The sequence below is a fragment of the Homo sapiens genome, chromosome 17 (genome assembly GCF_000001405.40).
Source record: "Homo sapiens chromosome 17, GRCh38.p14 Primary Assembly".
In the NCBI taxonomy this organism is placed as follows: domain Eukaryota; kingdom Metazoa; phylum Chordata; class Mammalia; order Primates; family Hominidae; genus Homo; species Homo sapiens.
Genome location: NC_000017.11, coordinates 76,592,155 through 76,609,024, shown reverse-complemented (window position 1 = coordinate 76,609,024; position 16,870 = coordinate 76,592,155). Strand labels below are relative to the sequence as shown.

General features: G+C 46.2%; 6 annotated features.

Annotated features, from left to right (window-relative positions):
- Nucleotides 2,514-3,034: an enhancer, noted in NCBI's record as "NANOG hESC enhancer chr17:74602073-74602593 (GRCh37/hg19 assembly coordinates)". NCBI's record gives its function as "activates a minimal SCP1, AML or CMV promoter by ChIP-STARR-seq in naive H9 embryonic stem cells {active_cell/tissue: H9 hESC(naive)}" and the evidence as "EXISTENCE:reporter gene assay evidence [ECO:0000049][PMID:30033119]".
- Nucleotides 6,173-6,719: an enhancer, noted in NCBI's record as "H3K27ac-H3K4me1 hESC enhancer chr17:74598388-74598934 (GRCh37/hg19 assembly coordinates)". NCBI's record gives its function as "activates a minimal SCP1, AML or CMV promoter by ChIP-STARR-seq in naive H9 embryonic stem cells {active_cell/tissue: H9 hESC(naive)}" and the evidence as "EXISTENCE:reporter gene assay evidence [ECO:0000049][PMID:30033119]".
- Nucleotides 6,173-7,938: a biological region, named in NCBI's record as "CDK7 strongly-dependent group 2 enhancer GRCh37_chr17:74597314-74598513".
- Nucleotides 6,594-7,793: an enhancer, noted in NCBI's record as "CDK7 strongly-dependent group 2 enhancer chr17:74597314-74598513 (GRCh37/hg19 assembly coordinates)". NCBI's record gives its function as "activates an origin of replication core promoter dependent on BRD2, BRD4, P300/CBP, MED14 and CDK7 cofactors, with strong dependence on CDK7, by STARR-seq in HCT116 cells {active_cell/tissue: HCT116}" and the evidence as "EXISTENCE:reporter gene assay evidence [ECO:0000049][PMID:35650434]".
- Nucleotides 6,720-7,267: an enhancer, noted in NCBI's record as "H3K27ac-H3K4me1 hESC enhancer chr17:74597840-74598387 (GRCh37/hg19 assembly coordinates)". NCBI's record gives its function as "activates a minimal SCP1, AML or CMV promoter by ChIP-STARR-seq in naive H9 embryonic stem cells {active_cell/tissue: H9 hESC(naive)}" and the evidence as "EXISTENCE:reporter gene assay evidence [ECO:0000049][PMID:30033119]".
- Nucleotides 7,644-7,938: a silencer, noted in NCBI's record as "tiled region #4376; K562 Repressive DNase matched - State 5:Enh". NCBI's record gives its function as "represses a minimal TATA promoter and a strong SV40 promoter by Sharpr-MPRA in K562 cells {active_cell/tissue: K562}" and the evidence as "EXISTENCE:reporter gene assay evidence [ECO:0000049][PMID:27701403]".

Sequence of the window (16,870 nt, the reverse complement as noted above, 5' to 3'; positions counted from 1 at the left end):
CCCCTTAAAACTCCCCAACTCTGGTGCCAACTTAGACAATACTCTTTTAAGCACTCCTTTTTAGTTATCCCCACCTGCCCAGTTCCCTTATTAGGCCGAGATATTTTAACCAAATTATCTGCTTCCCTGACTATTCCTGGACCACAGCCGCATCTCATTGCTGCCCTTCTTCCCAATCCAAAGCCTCCTTTGCGTCCTCCTCTTTTGTATTCCCCCCCACCTTAACCCACAAGTATAAGATACCTCTACTCCCTCCTTGGCGACCAATCATGCACCCCTTACCATCTCATTAAAACATAATCACCCTTACCCCACTCAATGCCAATATCCCATCCCACAGCATGCTTTGAAAGGAGTAAAGCCTGTTATCACATGCCTGCTACAGCATGGCCTTTTAAAGCCTATAAACTCTCCTTACAATTCCCCCATTTTACCTATCCTAAAACCAGACAAGCCTTACAAGTTAGTTCAGGATCTATGCCTTATCAACCAAATTGTTTTGCCTATCCACCCCATGGTACCAAACCATATACTCTCCTATCCTCAATACCTCCCTCCACAATCCATTATTCTGTTCTGGATCTCAAACATGCTTTCTTTACAATTCCTTTGCACCCGTCATCCCAGCCTCTCTTTGCTTTCACTTGGACTGACCCTGACATCCATTAGGCTCAGCAAATTACCCGGGCTGTACTGCTGCAAGGCTTCACAGACAGCCCCCATTACTTCAGTCAAGCCCAAATTTCATCCTCATCTGTTACCTGTCTCAGCATAATTCTCATAAAAACACACGTGCTCTCCCTGCTGATCATGTCTGATTAATCTCCCAAACCTCAATCCCTTACAAAACAACAACTCCTTTCCTTCCTAGGCATGGTTAGTGAGGTCAGAATTCTTACACAAGAGCCAGGACCGCACCTTGTAGCCTTTCTGTCCAAACAACTTGACCTTACTGTTTTAGCCTAGCCCTCAAGTCTGCGTGCAGCGGCTGCCGCTGCTTTAATACTTTTAGAGGCCCTAAAAATAACAAACTATGCTCAACTCACTCTCTACATTTCTCATAACTTCCAAAATTATTTTCTTCCTCATACCTGATGCATATACTTTCTGCTCCCTGGCTCCTTCAGCTGTACTCACTCTTTGTTAAGTCCCACAATTACCATTGTTCCTGGCCCGGACCTCAATCTGGCCTCCCACATTATTCCTGATACCACACCTGACCCCCATGACTGTATCTCTCTGATCCACCTGATGTTCTTCCCATTTCCCCACATTTCCTTCTTTCCTGTTTCTCACCCTGATCACGCTTGATTTATTGATGGCAGTTCCAGCAGGCCTAATCACCACACAGCAGCAAAAGCAGGCTATGCTATAGTACAAGCCACTAGCCCGCCTCTTAGAACCTCATTTCCTTTCCATTGTGGAAATCTATCCTCAAGGAAATAACTTCTCAGTGTTCCATCTGCTATTCTGCTACTCCTCAAGGATTCTTCAGGCCCCCTCCCTTCCCTACACATCAAGCTCAAGGATTTGCCCCCGCCCAGGACTGGCAAGTTAGCTTTACTCAACATGCACCGAGTCACAAAAACTAAAATACCTCTTAGTCTAGGTAGACACTTTCACTGGATAGGTAGAGGCCTTTCCTACAGGGTCTGAGAAGGCCACACAGTCATTTCTTCCCTTCTGTCAGACATAATTCCTCAGTTTAGCCTTCCCACCTCTATACAGTCTGATAACAGACCAGCCCTTATTAGTCAAATCAGCCAAGCAGTTTCTCAGGCTCTTAGTATTCAGTGAAACCTTTATATCCCTTACGGTCCTCCGTCTTCAGGAAAAGTAGAACGGACTAAAGGTCTTTTAAAAACACTTCACCAAGCTCAGCCACCAACTTAAAAAGGACTGGACAATACTTTTACCACTTTCCCTTCTCAGAAGTCAGACCTGTCCTCAGAATGCTACAAGGTACAGCCCATTTGAGCTCCTGTATAGACGTTCCTTTTTATTTGGTCCCAGTCTCATTCCAGACACCAGACCAACTTAGACTGTGCCCCAAAAAACTTGTCATCCCTACTATCTTCTGTCTAGTCATACTCCTATTCACCATTCTCAACTACTCATGCATTCCCTGCTCTTGTTTACACTGCTGGTTTACACTATTTCTCCAAGCCATCACAGCTGATATCTCCTGGTGCTATCCCCAAACTGCCACTCTTAACTCTTGAAGTAAATAAATAATCTTTGCTGGCAAGGCTATGCTGAATCTCCTTAGGTACTCTAATTAGATGTCCTAGGTCCTCCCAATTCTTAGACCTTTAATACCTGTTTTTCTCCTTCTCTTATTCCGTTTAGTTTTTCAATTCATACAAAACCGTATCCAGGCCATCACCAATAATTCTAAATGACAAATGTTTCTTCTAATAGTCCCACAGTATCACCCCTTACCACAAAATCTTCCTTCAGCTTAATCTCTCCCACTCTAGGTTCCCACGCCGCCCCTAATCCCGCTCGAAGCAGCCCTGAGAAACATCACCCATTATCTCTCCACACCACCCCCAAAAATTTTCACCGTCCCAACACTTTACCACTATTTCATTTTATTTTTCTTATTAATATAAGAAGACAGGAATGTCAGGCCTCTGAGCCGAAGCTAAGCCATCATATCCCCTGTGACCTGCACGTACACATCCAGATGGCCGGTTCCTGCCTCAACTGATGACATTCCACCACAAAAGAAGTGAAAATGGCCTGCTCCCGCCTTAACTGATGACATTGTCTTGTGAAATTCCTTCTCCTGGCTCATTCTGGCTCAAAAGCTCCCCTGCTGAGCACCTTGTGACCCCCACTCTGCCCACCAGAGAACAAACCCCCTTTGACTGTAATTTTCCTTTATCCACCCAAATCCTATAAAATGGCCCCACCCTTATCTCCCTTCGCTGACTCTCTTTTCGGACTCAGCCCACCTGCACCCAGGTGAAATAAACAGCCATGTTGCTCACCCAAAGCCTGTTTGGTGGTCTCTTCACACGGACGTGCATGAAAGTTATAGTTTCACAACGTGAATATACCAAACAATCACCTGAATTACACAACCTAAAAATGCAGCCAACATCTTATCTGTCTTCTTGGGAAATAAGGAGAATCTTTTAAAATGCTTTAGTACCTAAGACCCACTGTAATAAAGATGCAAAAAATGGAATCCTCCCACCCCATCACACATCACTACACACGTCTAACAGGTTATCTTACATGTCAGGCAGGAAGAAAAAAAACCAACACATTATCATTTAGCATTCATCAGCTACACTCATTTAATTAACTTGTGCTTCAGAAGCTTACCAAGATAGAGCTGGTGGCATAACAGAGGTGCAATTAATGCTACCATCTAGGACACTGTCCAAAGAAACACACAAGATTGGGGGAAGGGGGAATAAGTCACCTGCTTCTGAGACGGATCATTGTCTTCAGCCTCAAAAAAAGATGACATCTCTGTAGTTAGCATTTCTAATACCATAGTTCCATAATTTCCTGATACACTCTCAAAAGCAGAACTCTGGCTTATGTGAATAACAGACTATTGCCAGGGACCCACCCAAATGCCCTTTATCAGCCAGCAAAACACTACCCAGGCTAATGGCTGACACCTGTGACCTTCTCTGGAGGCTCCTGGAGAGCCTGTCACCCTGACGTGCTTGGGACATTCCACCCCATCCCCACTCCTGGGGAGTTGATGTCTCACTTAAGGGGTACAAAAGGGGACAGGACAATTCTGTGTTGGGATCTATGCTTGAGATCTTGGCAGGTCAAGCCAAGCCTTTACCTGAGACTTCACTCGATTATCCTTTTCTTCTCTCCCTTATAGATGCTTCCTGATGAGCCCTCCCTCAGTAAACCACATGCCCCAAATTCCTGGCTCAGGCTCTACTTCTGGGAGAGGACACCTAATACGAAGGCCTTTCTAGGTGGTTTTAACTCACACAGTTGCCTCTAATTCTGGGAATAAGCCCAACCCTGAAACAGCCGAAACAGACATCCCTTTCTTATATATGGTCACATGGTATTATCTAGTCTCTCTTTTTTTTTTTTTTTTTTTTTTGAGACAGAGTCTCGCTCTGTCCCTAGGCTGGAGTGCAGTGGCACAATCTTGGCTCACTGCAAGCTCTGCCTCCCGGGTTCATGCCATTCTCCTGCCTCAGCCTCCCAAGTAGCTGGGACTACAGGCGCCCCCCCACCACGCCCAACTAATTTTTTGTGTTTTTAGTAGAGACGGGGTTTCACCGTGTTAGCCAGGATGGTCTTGGTCTCCTGACCTCATGATCTGCCTGCCTCAGCCTCCCAAAGTGCTGGGACTACAGGTGTGAGCCACCACGCCTGGCCATCTAGTCTCTCTTTCTTGCTATGAAAACTCTACCAGAAATACATTTAGAACTGACTTTCTTAGAAGCCTAGTTCTCTTATAAATTTGAAATAAAATGTGGACAGGAACATATAATCTGTTCAATAAAAGAGGCTGCCATAAAGTATAGCTCCCACTCTGGCCAGATGCGGTGGCTCACGCCTGGAATCCCAGCACTTTGGGAGACAGAAGGGGGCAGATCACCTGAGGTTAGGAGTTTGAGACCAGCCTGGCCAACATAACGAAACCTGTCTCTTCTAAAAATACAAAGAATTAGCCGAGCTTGGTGGCAGGCACCTATAATCCCAGCTACTTGGGAGGCTGAGGCAAGAGAATCACTTGAACCTGGGAGGCAGAGATTGCAGTGAACCGAGATAGTGCCACTACATACTCCAGCCTGGGTGATATAGTGAGACTCCATTTCAAAAAAAAAAAAAAAAAAAAAAAAACATAGCTCCCACTCTGGCCAGGTATGGAGGCTCACACCTGTAATCCCAACATTTTGGGAGGCTGAGGTGGGAGGATTGCTTGAGACCAGCCTGGGCAATATGGCAAAACCCCTTCTCTATTATTTAAAAAAAAAAAAAATTAGGTGGGGCACAGTGGCTCACACATGTAATCCCAGCACTTTGGGATGCCAAGGCAGAAGGATCATTTGAGGTCAGGAGTTCGAGACCAGCCTGGCCAACATGGTGAAACCCCGTCTCTACTAAAAATACAAAAATTAGCTGGGCATGGTGGCGGGCACATGTAATCCAAGCTACTCAGGAGGCTGAGGCGGGAGAATTTCTTGAGCCTGGGAAGCAAAGGTTGTAGTGAGCAGAGACTCCGTCTCAAAAAAAAAAAAAAAGTAAAAAAAAAATTATTTAAAAAATCATAGTTCCCATCTCTGTCTCTCTTTTTTTTTTTTTTTTTTTTTGAGATGGAGTCTTGCTCTTGCCACCCAGGCTGGAGTGCAATAGTGTGATCTTGGCTCGCTGCAACCTCTGCCTCCTGTGTTCAAGCAATTCTCCTGCCTCAGCCTCCTGAGTAGCTGGGATCACAGGTGTGCACCACCACGCCTGGCTAATTTTTGTATTTTTAGTAGAGACGGAGTTCCACCATCTTAACCAGGCTGGTCTTGAACTCCTGACCTCAAGTGATCTGCCCACCTCAGCCTCCCAAAGTGCTGGGATTACAGGTGTGAGTCACCGCGCCCAGCCCCATCCTTTTTCTTGACTCCTTCCAGCTTAGACCAAAAACCCCAAGTGCAAGTTCAGGCTTCCAAACTCTACGGCCTCTGATATGGTTTGGATGTGTGTCCCCTCCAAACCTCATGTTGAAACATGATTCCTAATGTTAGATGTGGGGCCTGATGGGGGGTGATTCGATCATGGGGTAGATCCTTCATGAATGGCTCAGCAACATCCCCTTGGTGATAAGTGAGTTTTGCTCAGTTAGTTCATGCAAGGTCTGGTTGTTTAAGAGTCTGGGACCTCTCCCTTCTCTCTATTGCTCTCTCTCCAAGTGACATGCCTGCTCCCACTTCACCTTCCGCCATGAATAAGAGCTCCCTGAGGCCTCACCAGAAGCCAAGCAGATGTGGGCACCATGCTTCCTGTACAGCCTGCAGAACAATGAGCCAATTAAACCTCTTTTCTTTATAAATTATCCACTGTCAGGTATTTATAGCAATGTAAAAACAGACTAACAGCCTCCAACTATGTCCTCTTCCCAAGGAGTGCCCTTGCAATGATTCAAAGCCTGGGCCAGGAATTGAGTGTTTTACCGGTGGGTAAACCATGGCTTATCCATTAAACGTTGCAGCATAATTTATCTTTCAACAACCCCAGTCTCTCTTTCTCTTCCGCCTTTCAGAGTCACTGGTGCAAGGGCTCACACAGTTACTCACGGATTTAACATTATTTTTCCTCTTTTCTCACATGCCTGGGACTTAGACAACTAATTCAGCTGTTTTAGAGGATTTAAAAGGTTAAAGTACAGATCTAACACGTCTCGCAATTCTCTGCTTCTGGGTCAGCAGTTTTTTTGGGTTTTTTGTTTTTTTTTTGAGACAAAGTCTTGTTCTCTCGCCAAGGCTGGAATGTAATGGCACGATCTGGGCTCACTGCAACCTCTGCCTCCCAGGTACAAGTGATTCTCCTGCCTCAGCCTCCCGAGTAGCTGGGATTACAGGTGCCTGCCACCACACCTGGCTAATTTTTGTATTTTTAGTAGAGACGGGATTTCGCCATGTTGGCCAGGCTGGTCTCAAACTCTCGACCTCAGGCGGTCCGCCTGCCTTGGCCTCCCAAAATGCTGGGATTACAGGTGTGAGCCACCATGCCCAGCCTAGGATCAGCAGTTTTTGATCTTGTTCTTTTTTGCAGTGAGGAGTAGGCAAAGGGTCCAAAAGTTGCTCCTGGGTCGAGGGTGCATTGGAGAGATCAAGAGAGATTCAGAAGCAGGACAGATATTTGTGTTAGTAATGTTACAGGCACTTCAACCAGAGTGACTCCATCTTGAATAGGGACTGGGTAAAATGAGGTTGAGACCTGCTGTACTGCATTCCTAGGGGGTTAGACATTCTTAGTCATAGGGTGAGATAGGAGCTCGCAAGATACAGGTCACAAAGACCCTGCTGATAAAACAGGATGCAGTAAAGAAGCCAGCCAAAACCAAGATGGCAACAAATGTAACCTCTAATAGTCCTCACTGCCCATTATATGCTAATTATAATGCATTAGCATGCTAAAGTCACTCCCACCGGCACCATGAAAGCTTAGAAATGCCATGGCAACGTTCAGAAGTTACCTTATATGGTCTAAAAGGGGGAGGAAACCTCATTTCCAAAAAATCCCCACCCGTTTCCTGGAAAACATAATAATCCACTCCTCGTTTAGCATATGATCAAGAGATAACCATAAAAATAGCCACCCACTGGGAGGCGGAGGCGGGTGGATCACAAGGTCAGGAGATTGAGACCATCCAGGCTAACACCATGAAACCCCATCTCTACTAAAAATAAAAATAAATAAAAAAAATAGCCACCCAGCAGCTCTTGGGGCTGCTCTGCCTATGGAATAGCTATTCTTTTGTTTCTTTACTTCTCTAACAAACTTGCTTTCACTTTACTCTGGACTCACCCTAAATTCTTTATTGCATGAGATCCCAGAACCCTCTCTTGGGGTCTGGATTGGGACCCCTTTCTGGTGATAGTAATGGAAAGTCTAAAGTGTACTCAGAGGATAGTGTTGCATTCATGCTGGTCTCCATGGCAGTCCTCACATGTCCTGTTGACTGTATGTATTTATTTTTGAGAGAGGGTCTCACCCCATCACCCAGGCTGGAGTGCAGTGGCGCTATTGCAGCTCTCTGCAGCCTTGAACTCCCAGGCTCAAACGATCCTCCCACCTTAGCTTCCTGCATATGTGCCACCACACCCAGTTAACTTTTTTTCTCTCTTTTTGGTAGAGACAGGGTCTCACGATGTCGCCTAGGCTTGTCTCGAACTCTTGGGCTCAAGCGATCGGCCCACCTCGGCCTCCCAAAGTACTGGGATTACAGGCATAAGTCACTATTCCCTGCTTTGACTGGTATTTAAAGGAAAGCTTAAAGTCAAACATTGTGTTCACAGAAGGAGAAAAGTACACTGTACCAAGCTTGAGGATTTATACTTATCTACAAAATTGTTTGCAAATCGGTTTATACAAAAATGTGGCATTTTCTGGATTATCACATACTGGGTGGGCACAAAGAATAGTTCTGTGTTGGCACTGGGGAACAGGGAACTAGAGGCCTGACCCCGACCCCCTTCACATACACAAACACACACACACACTCACACACACACACTCACGCACACACCAGCTTCCTCAGAATCTCAAGGCAGGTTGGGTGTGGTGGCTTATGCCTGTATCCTAGTATTTTGGGAGGCCAAGGCAAACGGATTCCTTGAGCTCAGGAGTTCAAGACCAGTCTGGGCAACATGGCAAAACCCCATCTCTACTAAAAGTACAAAAATTAGCCAGGTGTGGTGGTGCGCATCTATAGTCCTAGCTACTCAGGAGGCTGAGGTGGAAGGATAGCTTGAGCCCAGGAGTTCAAGACTGCAGTGAGCCATGATCACGGCGCCACTGTACTCCAAGCTGGGTGACAGAGTAAGACCCTGTCCCCCCAGCCCCACCTAAAAAAAAACTCAAGGCAAATAGCACACCCAAGGTGATGCACGATATGGTGTCTACCCTTAGCTGAGCGCGAGGGCAGGAAGAAACAGGGTCTGCACGCCCTGCCATTTTGCACAGACACAGCACTCCTGAGCGTAGGAGGAGATGAAAGACAAACTCTTGACACAGCCAACCCCAGGCATGGGTGGAGAATTCCTCTCTTACAGATTCATCGGACTCGTCTAACCTTGCTCGTTGCTTCGGGGGTATTAGAAAACAGCAATGAGTATCATTGTCTCAGAGTCAGGGGCTAGTGAAATCAGGACCATGTCAGGCGATACAATTTGGGTACAGAAGAGAGGCTTGGCAAGAAAGGGGTTTGGGCCAAGGGAATAGGTAGGTTTCTCACTTAGGCAGACACCATTTAGACAACCAGAGCAGAATCATTCATCACAGTGCTTAGCTGGGCGTGGAGACACACATCACTTCTGGCTGGGGGCATTTGTGAATGTATAAATATACCCACGCGTCTCACAAGAAACTTGTCCTCTTGCCAAATTGTTCTCCAGCTTCTCATGTTAGAAACAAGAGAGAGTCCAATGTTAGGTTAATTCTCTTTCCCTTCTACGGAAATGCGTTTGCCCTTGGAAGCTTGCAACACTTCCTTTTTTTTTTTTTTTTTGAAATGAAATTTCCCTCTTGTCACCCAGGCTAGAGTACATTGGGCCAATCTCAGCTCACTGCAACCTCCACCTCCCGGGTTCAAGCGATTCTCCTGCCTCAGTCTCCCAAGTAGCTGGGATTATAGGTGTCTGCCACCATGCCCAGCTAATTTTTATATTTTTAGTAGAGAAGGGGTTTCGCCATGTTGGTCAGGCTGGTCTTGAACTCCTGACCTCAGGTGATCCGCCCACCTTGGCCTCCCAAAGTGCTGGGATTACAGGCATGAGCCACCGCACCCGGCCCAAGGATGCTTATTATTATTATTATTATTATTATTATTGAGATAGAATCTTGCTCTGTCACCCAGGCTGGAGTGCAATGGTGCGATCTCAGCTCACTGCAACCTCTGCCTCCCGGGTTCAAGTGATTCTCCTGCCTCACACTCCTGAGTAGCTAGGATTACGGTGCGCACCACCACACCCAACTAATTTTTGTATTTTTAGTACAGACGAGTTTTCACCATGTTGGCCAGGCTGGTCTCAAACTCCTGACCTCAGGTGATCGGCCTGCCTTGGCCTCCCAAAGTGCTGGGATTACAGGCGTGAGCCATTGCGCCCGGCAAGGACACTTATAATTGTTTGATTAAAGTTCCCACCTGGTCCTTTCCTCATTCTCCTTCAGTAGGAGACAGTTCTGGGTGTCTCCTTTCCTTTGGTCTCCCTTCCTCTGGTTGTGCAGTCCTCCCAAATTAGCCATTCTCTTTTAACCTGCTTACAGCTTTGTATTTGCCCAGCAACCAGGTCCAGCATCTAGAGTTTTTCAAGAAGTATGTGATGGCCAGGCACGGGAGCTCATGCCTGTAATCTCTTTGGGTGTCTGAGGCAGACAGATCGCTTGAGCCCAGGAGTTTGAGACCAGCCTGGGCAACATGGCGAAACCCTATCTGCACAAAAAAATACAAAAAACTAGCTGAGTGTAGTGGTGCATACCTTAGTCCCAGCTACTCAGGAGGCTGAGGCAGGTGGATGATTGAGCCTGGGAGGTCAGTGAGCTGGGATGGCACCGCTGCACTCCAGCCTGGGCGACAGAGTAAGAGCTTGCTTCAGAAAAAACAAAAAACAAAAAAAAAAAACAAAACAGAGAAGTGATATAAGAAATAACAGCTTCCATCTTTGTGGGTAAGGGATGAACAAACAGCACATCATGAGGCACCTGTTGGAGCCCAGGAAGAAAATGTCACCACTCCTGGGGCTCCCCAGGTGTAAGCAGCAGCTCTACCCTAAAGACAGGGCCCAAGAACAACTTCACTACCTGTGAAGCTGCCCTCCAAGTCTTCCAAAATCTGAAGGTTTAAAAGAATGACCATGTATTTGCTTATGATTTTACAGATCAGCAATTTGTGCTGGGATCAGCTTCCTTCTGCTCTGGCTTGGGGTTACCCATGCAGCTGCCGACATTCTGCAGGTGGGTAAACAGACTCAGCCTCTTGTTAGGAGGAGTGACAAAGTCACATTGCAAAGGGCTGTGCATTCAATGCCATCTTTGTCAGCAATCCAACACATCTGGTGACACCAGATTTGCAGGCAGAGTCCAGCTCTTCCCCTGTCCAATGCCTGGCAGTGTAGTTCTTCCTCCACAAAGAGCCCAGTCTTTCTCAAGGCCTAGGTCTGTCCCCAACACATCACTTTTCAGTCTGTTCAGGACTGTATCAGCCAACGTTTGTATAGTGCTTCCTGTTTCCAGAACTGTTGCAAGCACATTTAATGAGCACAGCAATCCTCTTGAAGTTGGTACTATCATCATTTCTGTGCTATAGATGAGGAAACTGACGCATAGAGAGTCTAAGTAATTTCCCCTGGGTTCACACGGTTAACAAATAGAGCTGAGATTGTTGGGCTTTGGAGTCCCCTCTCTTAAGTGCTCTACTGCCGTTTGGAGTGTGTGAAGCTCAGAGATGTTCGAAGTGTCCTCTTCCTTGGCATTCCTCCCCACTTCCTTTTTTTATTCCAAGGGAACCCAGCTACGGGATTCTCGGGGAACAGTGGCTGGAGCAGATGTCCCTGACTCTGTCTGTCCCCACAACTGCCTCTCTGAAGTAAGACAGCAGCCAGGGAGGCAATCACACAGGACTTGGCAAGTACATCTGAGATCCAGGGCTCCCTGGGGAAAGGAGCAGGTGAGGACTTGCTTTGTTTTGGTGCTGAGGTGAGAGATTGTCACTAGGGACCAGCAGCAAAAAGGAGAGCTTGCCTGGTCTTGCATTCTGGGGGAAAGTGCAGCCTCTGGGAGTTTCCCAAGAGGACTCAGCCAGAGTAGATTGGAGGCTGGGGAGGCATGCACAGTTTCAGAGTACCAGCTGGAGGTCACTGGGTGGCACTGCCCTCACCACACACCCACGCCTACACACACATAAAGTCTCAGTTACGTCCTCTGTTTCTTAATCCAGTTCTGAGTGCTTTCATAAGGTATAAAGTTGACTTCAAATAAGTGGTCATGTGACCAGGCAGTGAGACTACATCCAAGATCTTGCTGCTGGAACTGTCCATTTGGGACAACGCCATTGTATTGCTGCCACCAGGGATCTGCCACCAGCCCAGTGGACTCTTGATCTATCCATGCACAGTTGTAAGAAACTCTGTTTATCTTGGCCAGGCGCGGTGGCTCACGCCTGTAATCCCAGCACTTTGGGAGGCCAAGGCGGGCGGATCACGAGGTCAGGAGATCGAGACCATCCTGGCTAACACAGTGAAACCCCATCTCTACTAAAAATACAAAAAATTAGCCAGATGTGGTGGTGGGCGCCTGTAGTCCCAGCTACTTGGGAGGCTGAGGCAGGAGAATGGCGTGAACCCGGGAGGCGGAGCTTGCAGTGAGCCGAGATCGTGCCAGTGCACTCCAGCCTGGGTGACAGAGCGAGACTCCGTCTCAACAACAACGACAAAAAGAAACTCTGTTTTATCTCTGCATCTCTGTATCAATCTCTCAATATTCAAAGTCCCAGGAGCACCCAGGTGGCGGACTCTGCCCTGTGCTTGTGTTCTGGCTGCCATGAGCAGGGAGAGGGCCATCTGTCCTTCAGCTTCCCTGGCAGGAGAGGGACCCTTCCCTCTATGTATTCAACAATTGCAAACATCATAATGTTGTGCAACGGTCACCACTGTCCATCTCCAGAACTCTTTCATCATGGATAACAGAAACTTTGTACTCATTAAACACTAGGCTAGGCACTGTAGCTCATGCCTATAATCCCAGTACTTTGGGAAGCCGAGGCAGGTGGATCGCTTGAGCCCAGGAGTTCGAGACCAGCCCGGCCAACATGGCGAAACCCTGTCTCTACTAAAAATCCATAAAAATTAGCCAGGCATGGTGGTGTGTGCCTGTGGTCCCAGCTACTCCTTGGGAGGCTGAGGTGGGAGGATCACTTGAGCCTGGGAGGTTGAGGCTACAGTGAGCTGTGGTTGTACCCTTGCATTCCAGCCTACAGAACAACAGAGCAAGACTCCATCACTAAAAAATAAATAAATAAATAATTTTTTTGTTTTGAGGTGGAGTCTCGCTCTGTTACTCAGGCTGGAGTGCAGTGGCGCAATCTTGGCTCACTGCAACCTCCACCTCCCTGGTTCAAGCAATTCTCCTGCCTCAACCCCCTGAGTAGCTGGGATTACAGGCACGCGCCACCACACCCAGCTAATTTTTGTATTTTTAGTAGAGACGGGGTTTCACCATGTTGCTCAGGCTGGTCTCGAACTCCTGACCTCGTGATCCGCCCGCCTCAGCCTCCCAAAGTGCTGGGATTACAGGCGTGAGCCACTGCTCCCGGCCAAAAATACATAAATTTAAAAGTGAATTTAGCAAAATCTCAATACACAGGTAATTAAACAAACCATTGCATTTCTATATGTCAGCAATGAAAAAATAAAGAAATGAAATTTTAAAAACAAGGTTGTTTACAATAACATCAAAAAGCACCAAACAGAGGGCGGGTGCAGGCTCGGAATCGTTCCCATGGCCTCCCCGGTTGGAGCCCGGCGAGCCGCGCGCAGAGGAAGGTAGAATTAGAAGATCATGTGACGTTGGAGTAGGGGGATTTATCTTGGTGACTTTGGGATGCTGGTTTCACTGGAGGTATAATTATGCAAAGCAAAGAATCCAGGAAAGAATTGCCAGAGAAGGAATGAAAACTAAGATCTATGAAAGTACTCACCTTGAGCCTGAAAGAAAAGAAACCAACAGCAACAGCGGCAATCGAACAATCTTTTTTTTTTTTTTTTTGAGACAGAGTCTCCCTCAGTCGCCCAGGCTGGAGTGCAGTGGCTCGATCTCCGCTCACTGCAAGCTCCGCCTCCTGGGTTCACACCATTCTCCTGCCTCAGCCTCCCGAGTAGCTGGGACTACAGGCACCCGCCAACACGCCCGGCTAATTTTTTGTATATTTTAGTAGAGACTGGGTTTCACTGTGTTAGCCAGGATGGTCTCGATCTCCTGACCTCGTGATCCGCCCACCTCGGCCTCCCAGAGTGCTGGGATTACAGGCATGAGCCACCGCACCCGGCCAATCGAACAATCTTGAGCATAGAGAACCAGACCCCCTGAAGTCAGCATGAACAAAGCTAAGATCAACCACATAAGACATTTTCTGTACAATAAGTTCTTAATCAGTAAATAAAGTATGTTTAAGTTGAAAAAAAAAAGGACCAAACGCCTAGGTATACATTTACGGAAAAATGAGCACAATTGCATACTGAAAACTATGAAATATTATTGAGAAATTAACCCAAATACATGGAACTATATATAATGTTTCTGGATATCCCATTTACTCACATTAACCTATAATGTGATCCCAACCAAATCCCAAGAGGATTCTTGTAGAAATAACAAGCTGATTCTAAAACATTTGGAAATGCAAAAGGCCAAGAATAGCCAAGGCAATACTGAAGAAATCCCACAAAGCTAGAGGGCTTACATCACACATATCTAGATGTTTACGTAGCTAAAGTAATTAAGGCAATGTGGTATTGCCACGAAGATAGACTGACCCAAGGAAAGCAGTAGCGTCCAGACAAGATGAAGAAAACTAAGAGAATTGTCCCCAGAAGAACTGCCCTGAAAGAATAACTAAAGGAAGCTCTTCAAACAAGAAGGAAATGATAAAAGAAGAAAACATGGAACATGGGGAATAAAGAAAACAATGGAGCCGGGCACGGTGGCTCACGCCTGTAATCCCAGAACTTTAGGAGGCCAAGGCGGTGGATCACTTGAGGCCAAGAGTTTGAGACCAGCCTGGCCAACGTGGTGAAACCCCATCTCTACTAAAAATACAAAAATTATCCGGGTGTGGTGATGCGCACCTGTAATCCCAGCTACTCGGAAGGTTGAGGTGGGAGAATCGCTTGAACCCAGGAGGCAGAGGTTGCAGTGAGCTGAGATCATGCCACTGCACACCAGCCTGGGTGACAGAGTGAGACTCTGTCTCAAAAAACAAACAAACAAGAAACAAAAACAGAATGCTAAAAGCAAAATAATCCACAGGAAGGCAGGAGAAAAAGGTGATGGTGGGGCAGGTGGAGGGTGGAGGGAAGAAACAGCAAGCCAGGCAAAGAGGAATGCAGGAACAAGAATGGGGCGAGACAGCAACATGCACGTGTGGGGCCTACAAGACAGTAGGTGATGCTGTTGCAGAAAATATAACGCAGGAATCTTACTAGAGCAGCAGGCGAGGTCCAGCTCATTGGGAGCCCTGAATGAGAGGCATCAGAGCTTGGGCTTATTTTCTAGATGCTGGGCCTGAGGATAAAATTCAACTTGTGAATTCCCTGAGAGAATATTGTTTTTCAAAATTGGTAGTCCCCAGCTACTCTCCTGCTATTTCATCTATGCAGAGTCAGCCACTTTCAAATCTTCCAGCTGAGCCTTTGGCATTTACCTCCATACTTCGAAATTACATGTGTGCGTTGACAATTATGTTTTAGATTATCTACTGATGTCTCCCAGGGAAGATGAGGATCCGGCTCCCGGCCCTGCCCCACCCTCCCACACGTGCACATTTCCTTCGTGCGCATTTCCTACACGCATTTTTCCTCTGCTCTCACTCAACAACAATCAACACAGAAGACTTCTGTGACCAGATGTGTGCAGATCTCTCCCCACCAACAAGCAAGCAATCAATTCTGCAGCGGACACCAGCTGGGTGTCCTCTAATTCAGTTCACTTCTGAGACCATCTGCCTGGAGACAGCATCAGATCACGGGTTGAGGGCTCAGTCCCACAAGACTGCTCCCTCCCACTTCCAATTCCCATCACAACCCCCAGGGGTTGTATTACCTGTGCTACTGACTAACCAGCTATAAATTTGGGTTCCCATGACTCACTCCTCAAGTTCAATTAAATTGCTAGAGTGGCTCACAGAGGCAGGAAACACTTATGTTTACCAGTTTAATTGTAAAGGATATCACAATAGATACAGATGAAGAAATGCATAGGGCAAGGTATGGGGAAGGGACACGGAGCTTCCATGCCCTTCCTGGGCACCCTGCCCTCCTGGAACCTCCACATGCTCCGCTATCCAGAAGCTCCCCAAACTCTGTCTTCTTGGGCCTTCTATGAAGGCTTCATTGGATAGGCACGTTTGACGACCATGTAGAAATGAAATTAAACAAAAATGGTTTGGCCGGGCACAGTGGCTCACACCTGTAATCCCAGCACTTTGGGAGGCCAAGGCAGGTGGATCAACTGAGGTTGTGAGTTTGAGACCAGACTGGCCAACATGGTGAAACCCCATCTCTACTAAAAATACAAAAATAGCTGAGGGTGGTGGCGTGCACCTGTAATCCCAGCTACTTGGGAGGCTGGGGCAGTAGAGTCGCTTGAACCCAGGAAGTGGAGGTTGCAGTCAGCCAAGATCGCGCCACTGCACTCCAGCCTGGGCAACAAAAGGGAAACTCGGTCTCAAAAAAAAAATTAGTTTCTCATTTATGATAAAATAACATTTTTTTCAAAATGTTGACATTTTCAAGAAGTTAAAAAAAAAGTCTTCCCATTAATGAGTTTATAAAAAAAAATAAAAAAGAAACTTCTTAAACCCTGAAAAGCAGTAGGCTCTAATTTCGTGAATCTCAAGTGCTAATAATCCATTTTCTGACTGATCTAGAATATCCGGTTCATATTCAAATTTAAGCCATCAACTGTATTTTCTTTTTCCAAACTCGGTTTCTACTCAGCTTCAATTCAATGCATAAATTTGTCTTTTTATAAACTCTTGAAATACAACTGCAACAATTTTCATCATTGCTTTTTTTCATAAAATAATCAATCATCTAAAAATGGTTTTGATTGAAATGACAAAAACAGCCTCTGACACATAATTAGAACATCTAATACATTTTGATTAGGAACTTGCTCGACATTCATGCCAGTTTCAGATACTGAGAAATAAATTGATTTTAGTAAAAATATGTTTTTACAAAATGCTTACATGTGGTTGTTTTAGAACATAGAGTACTCGAAGTTTTGATCTCTTGGTTTTGCAAATCCGTAATCCATAGTTCATCTTATGTGAAAAGCATGTATATATACTTTTAAAGACTTTGATTGAAGTTAAGGATAACCTTATAGTTTTGAAATATCTAATGAAGCATATTTCAGCTAAAAAGAAAAATTTAGGTTTTTG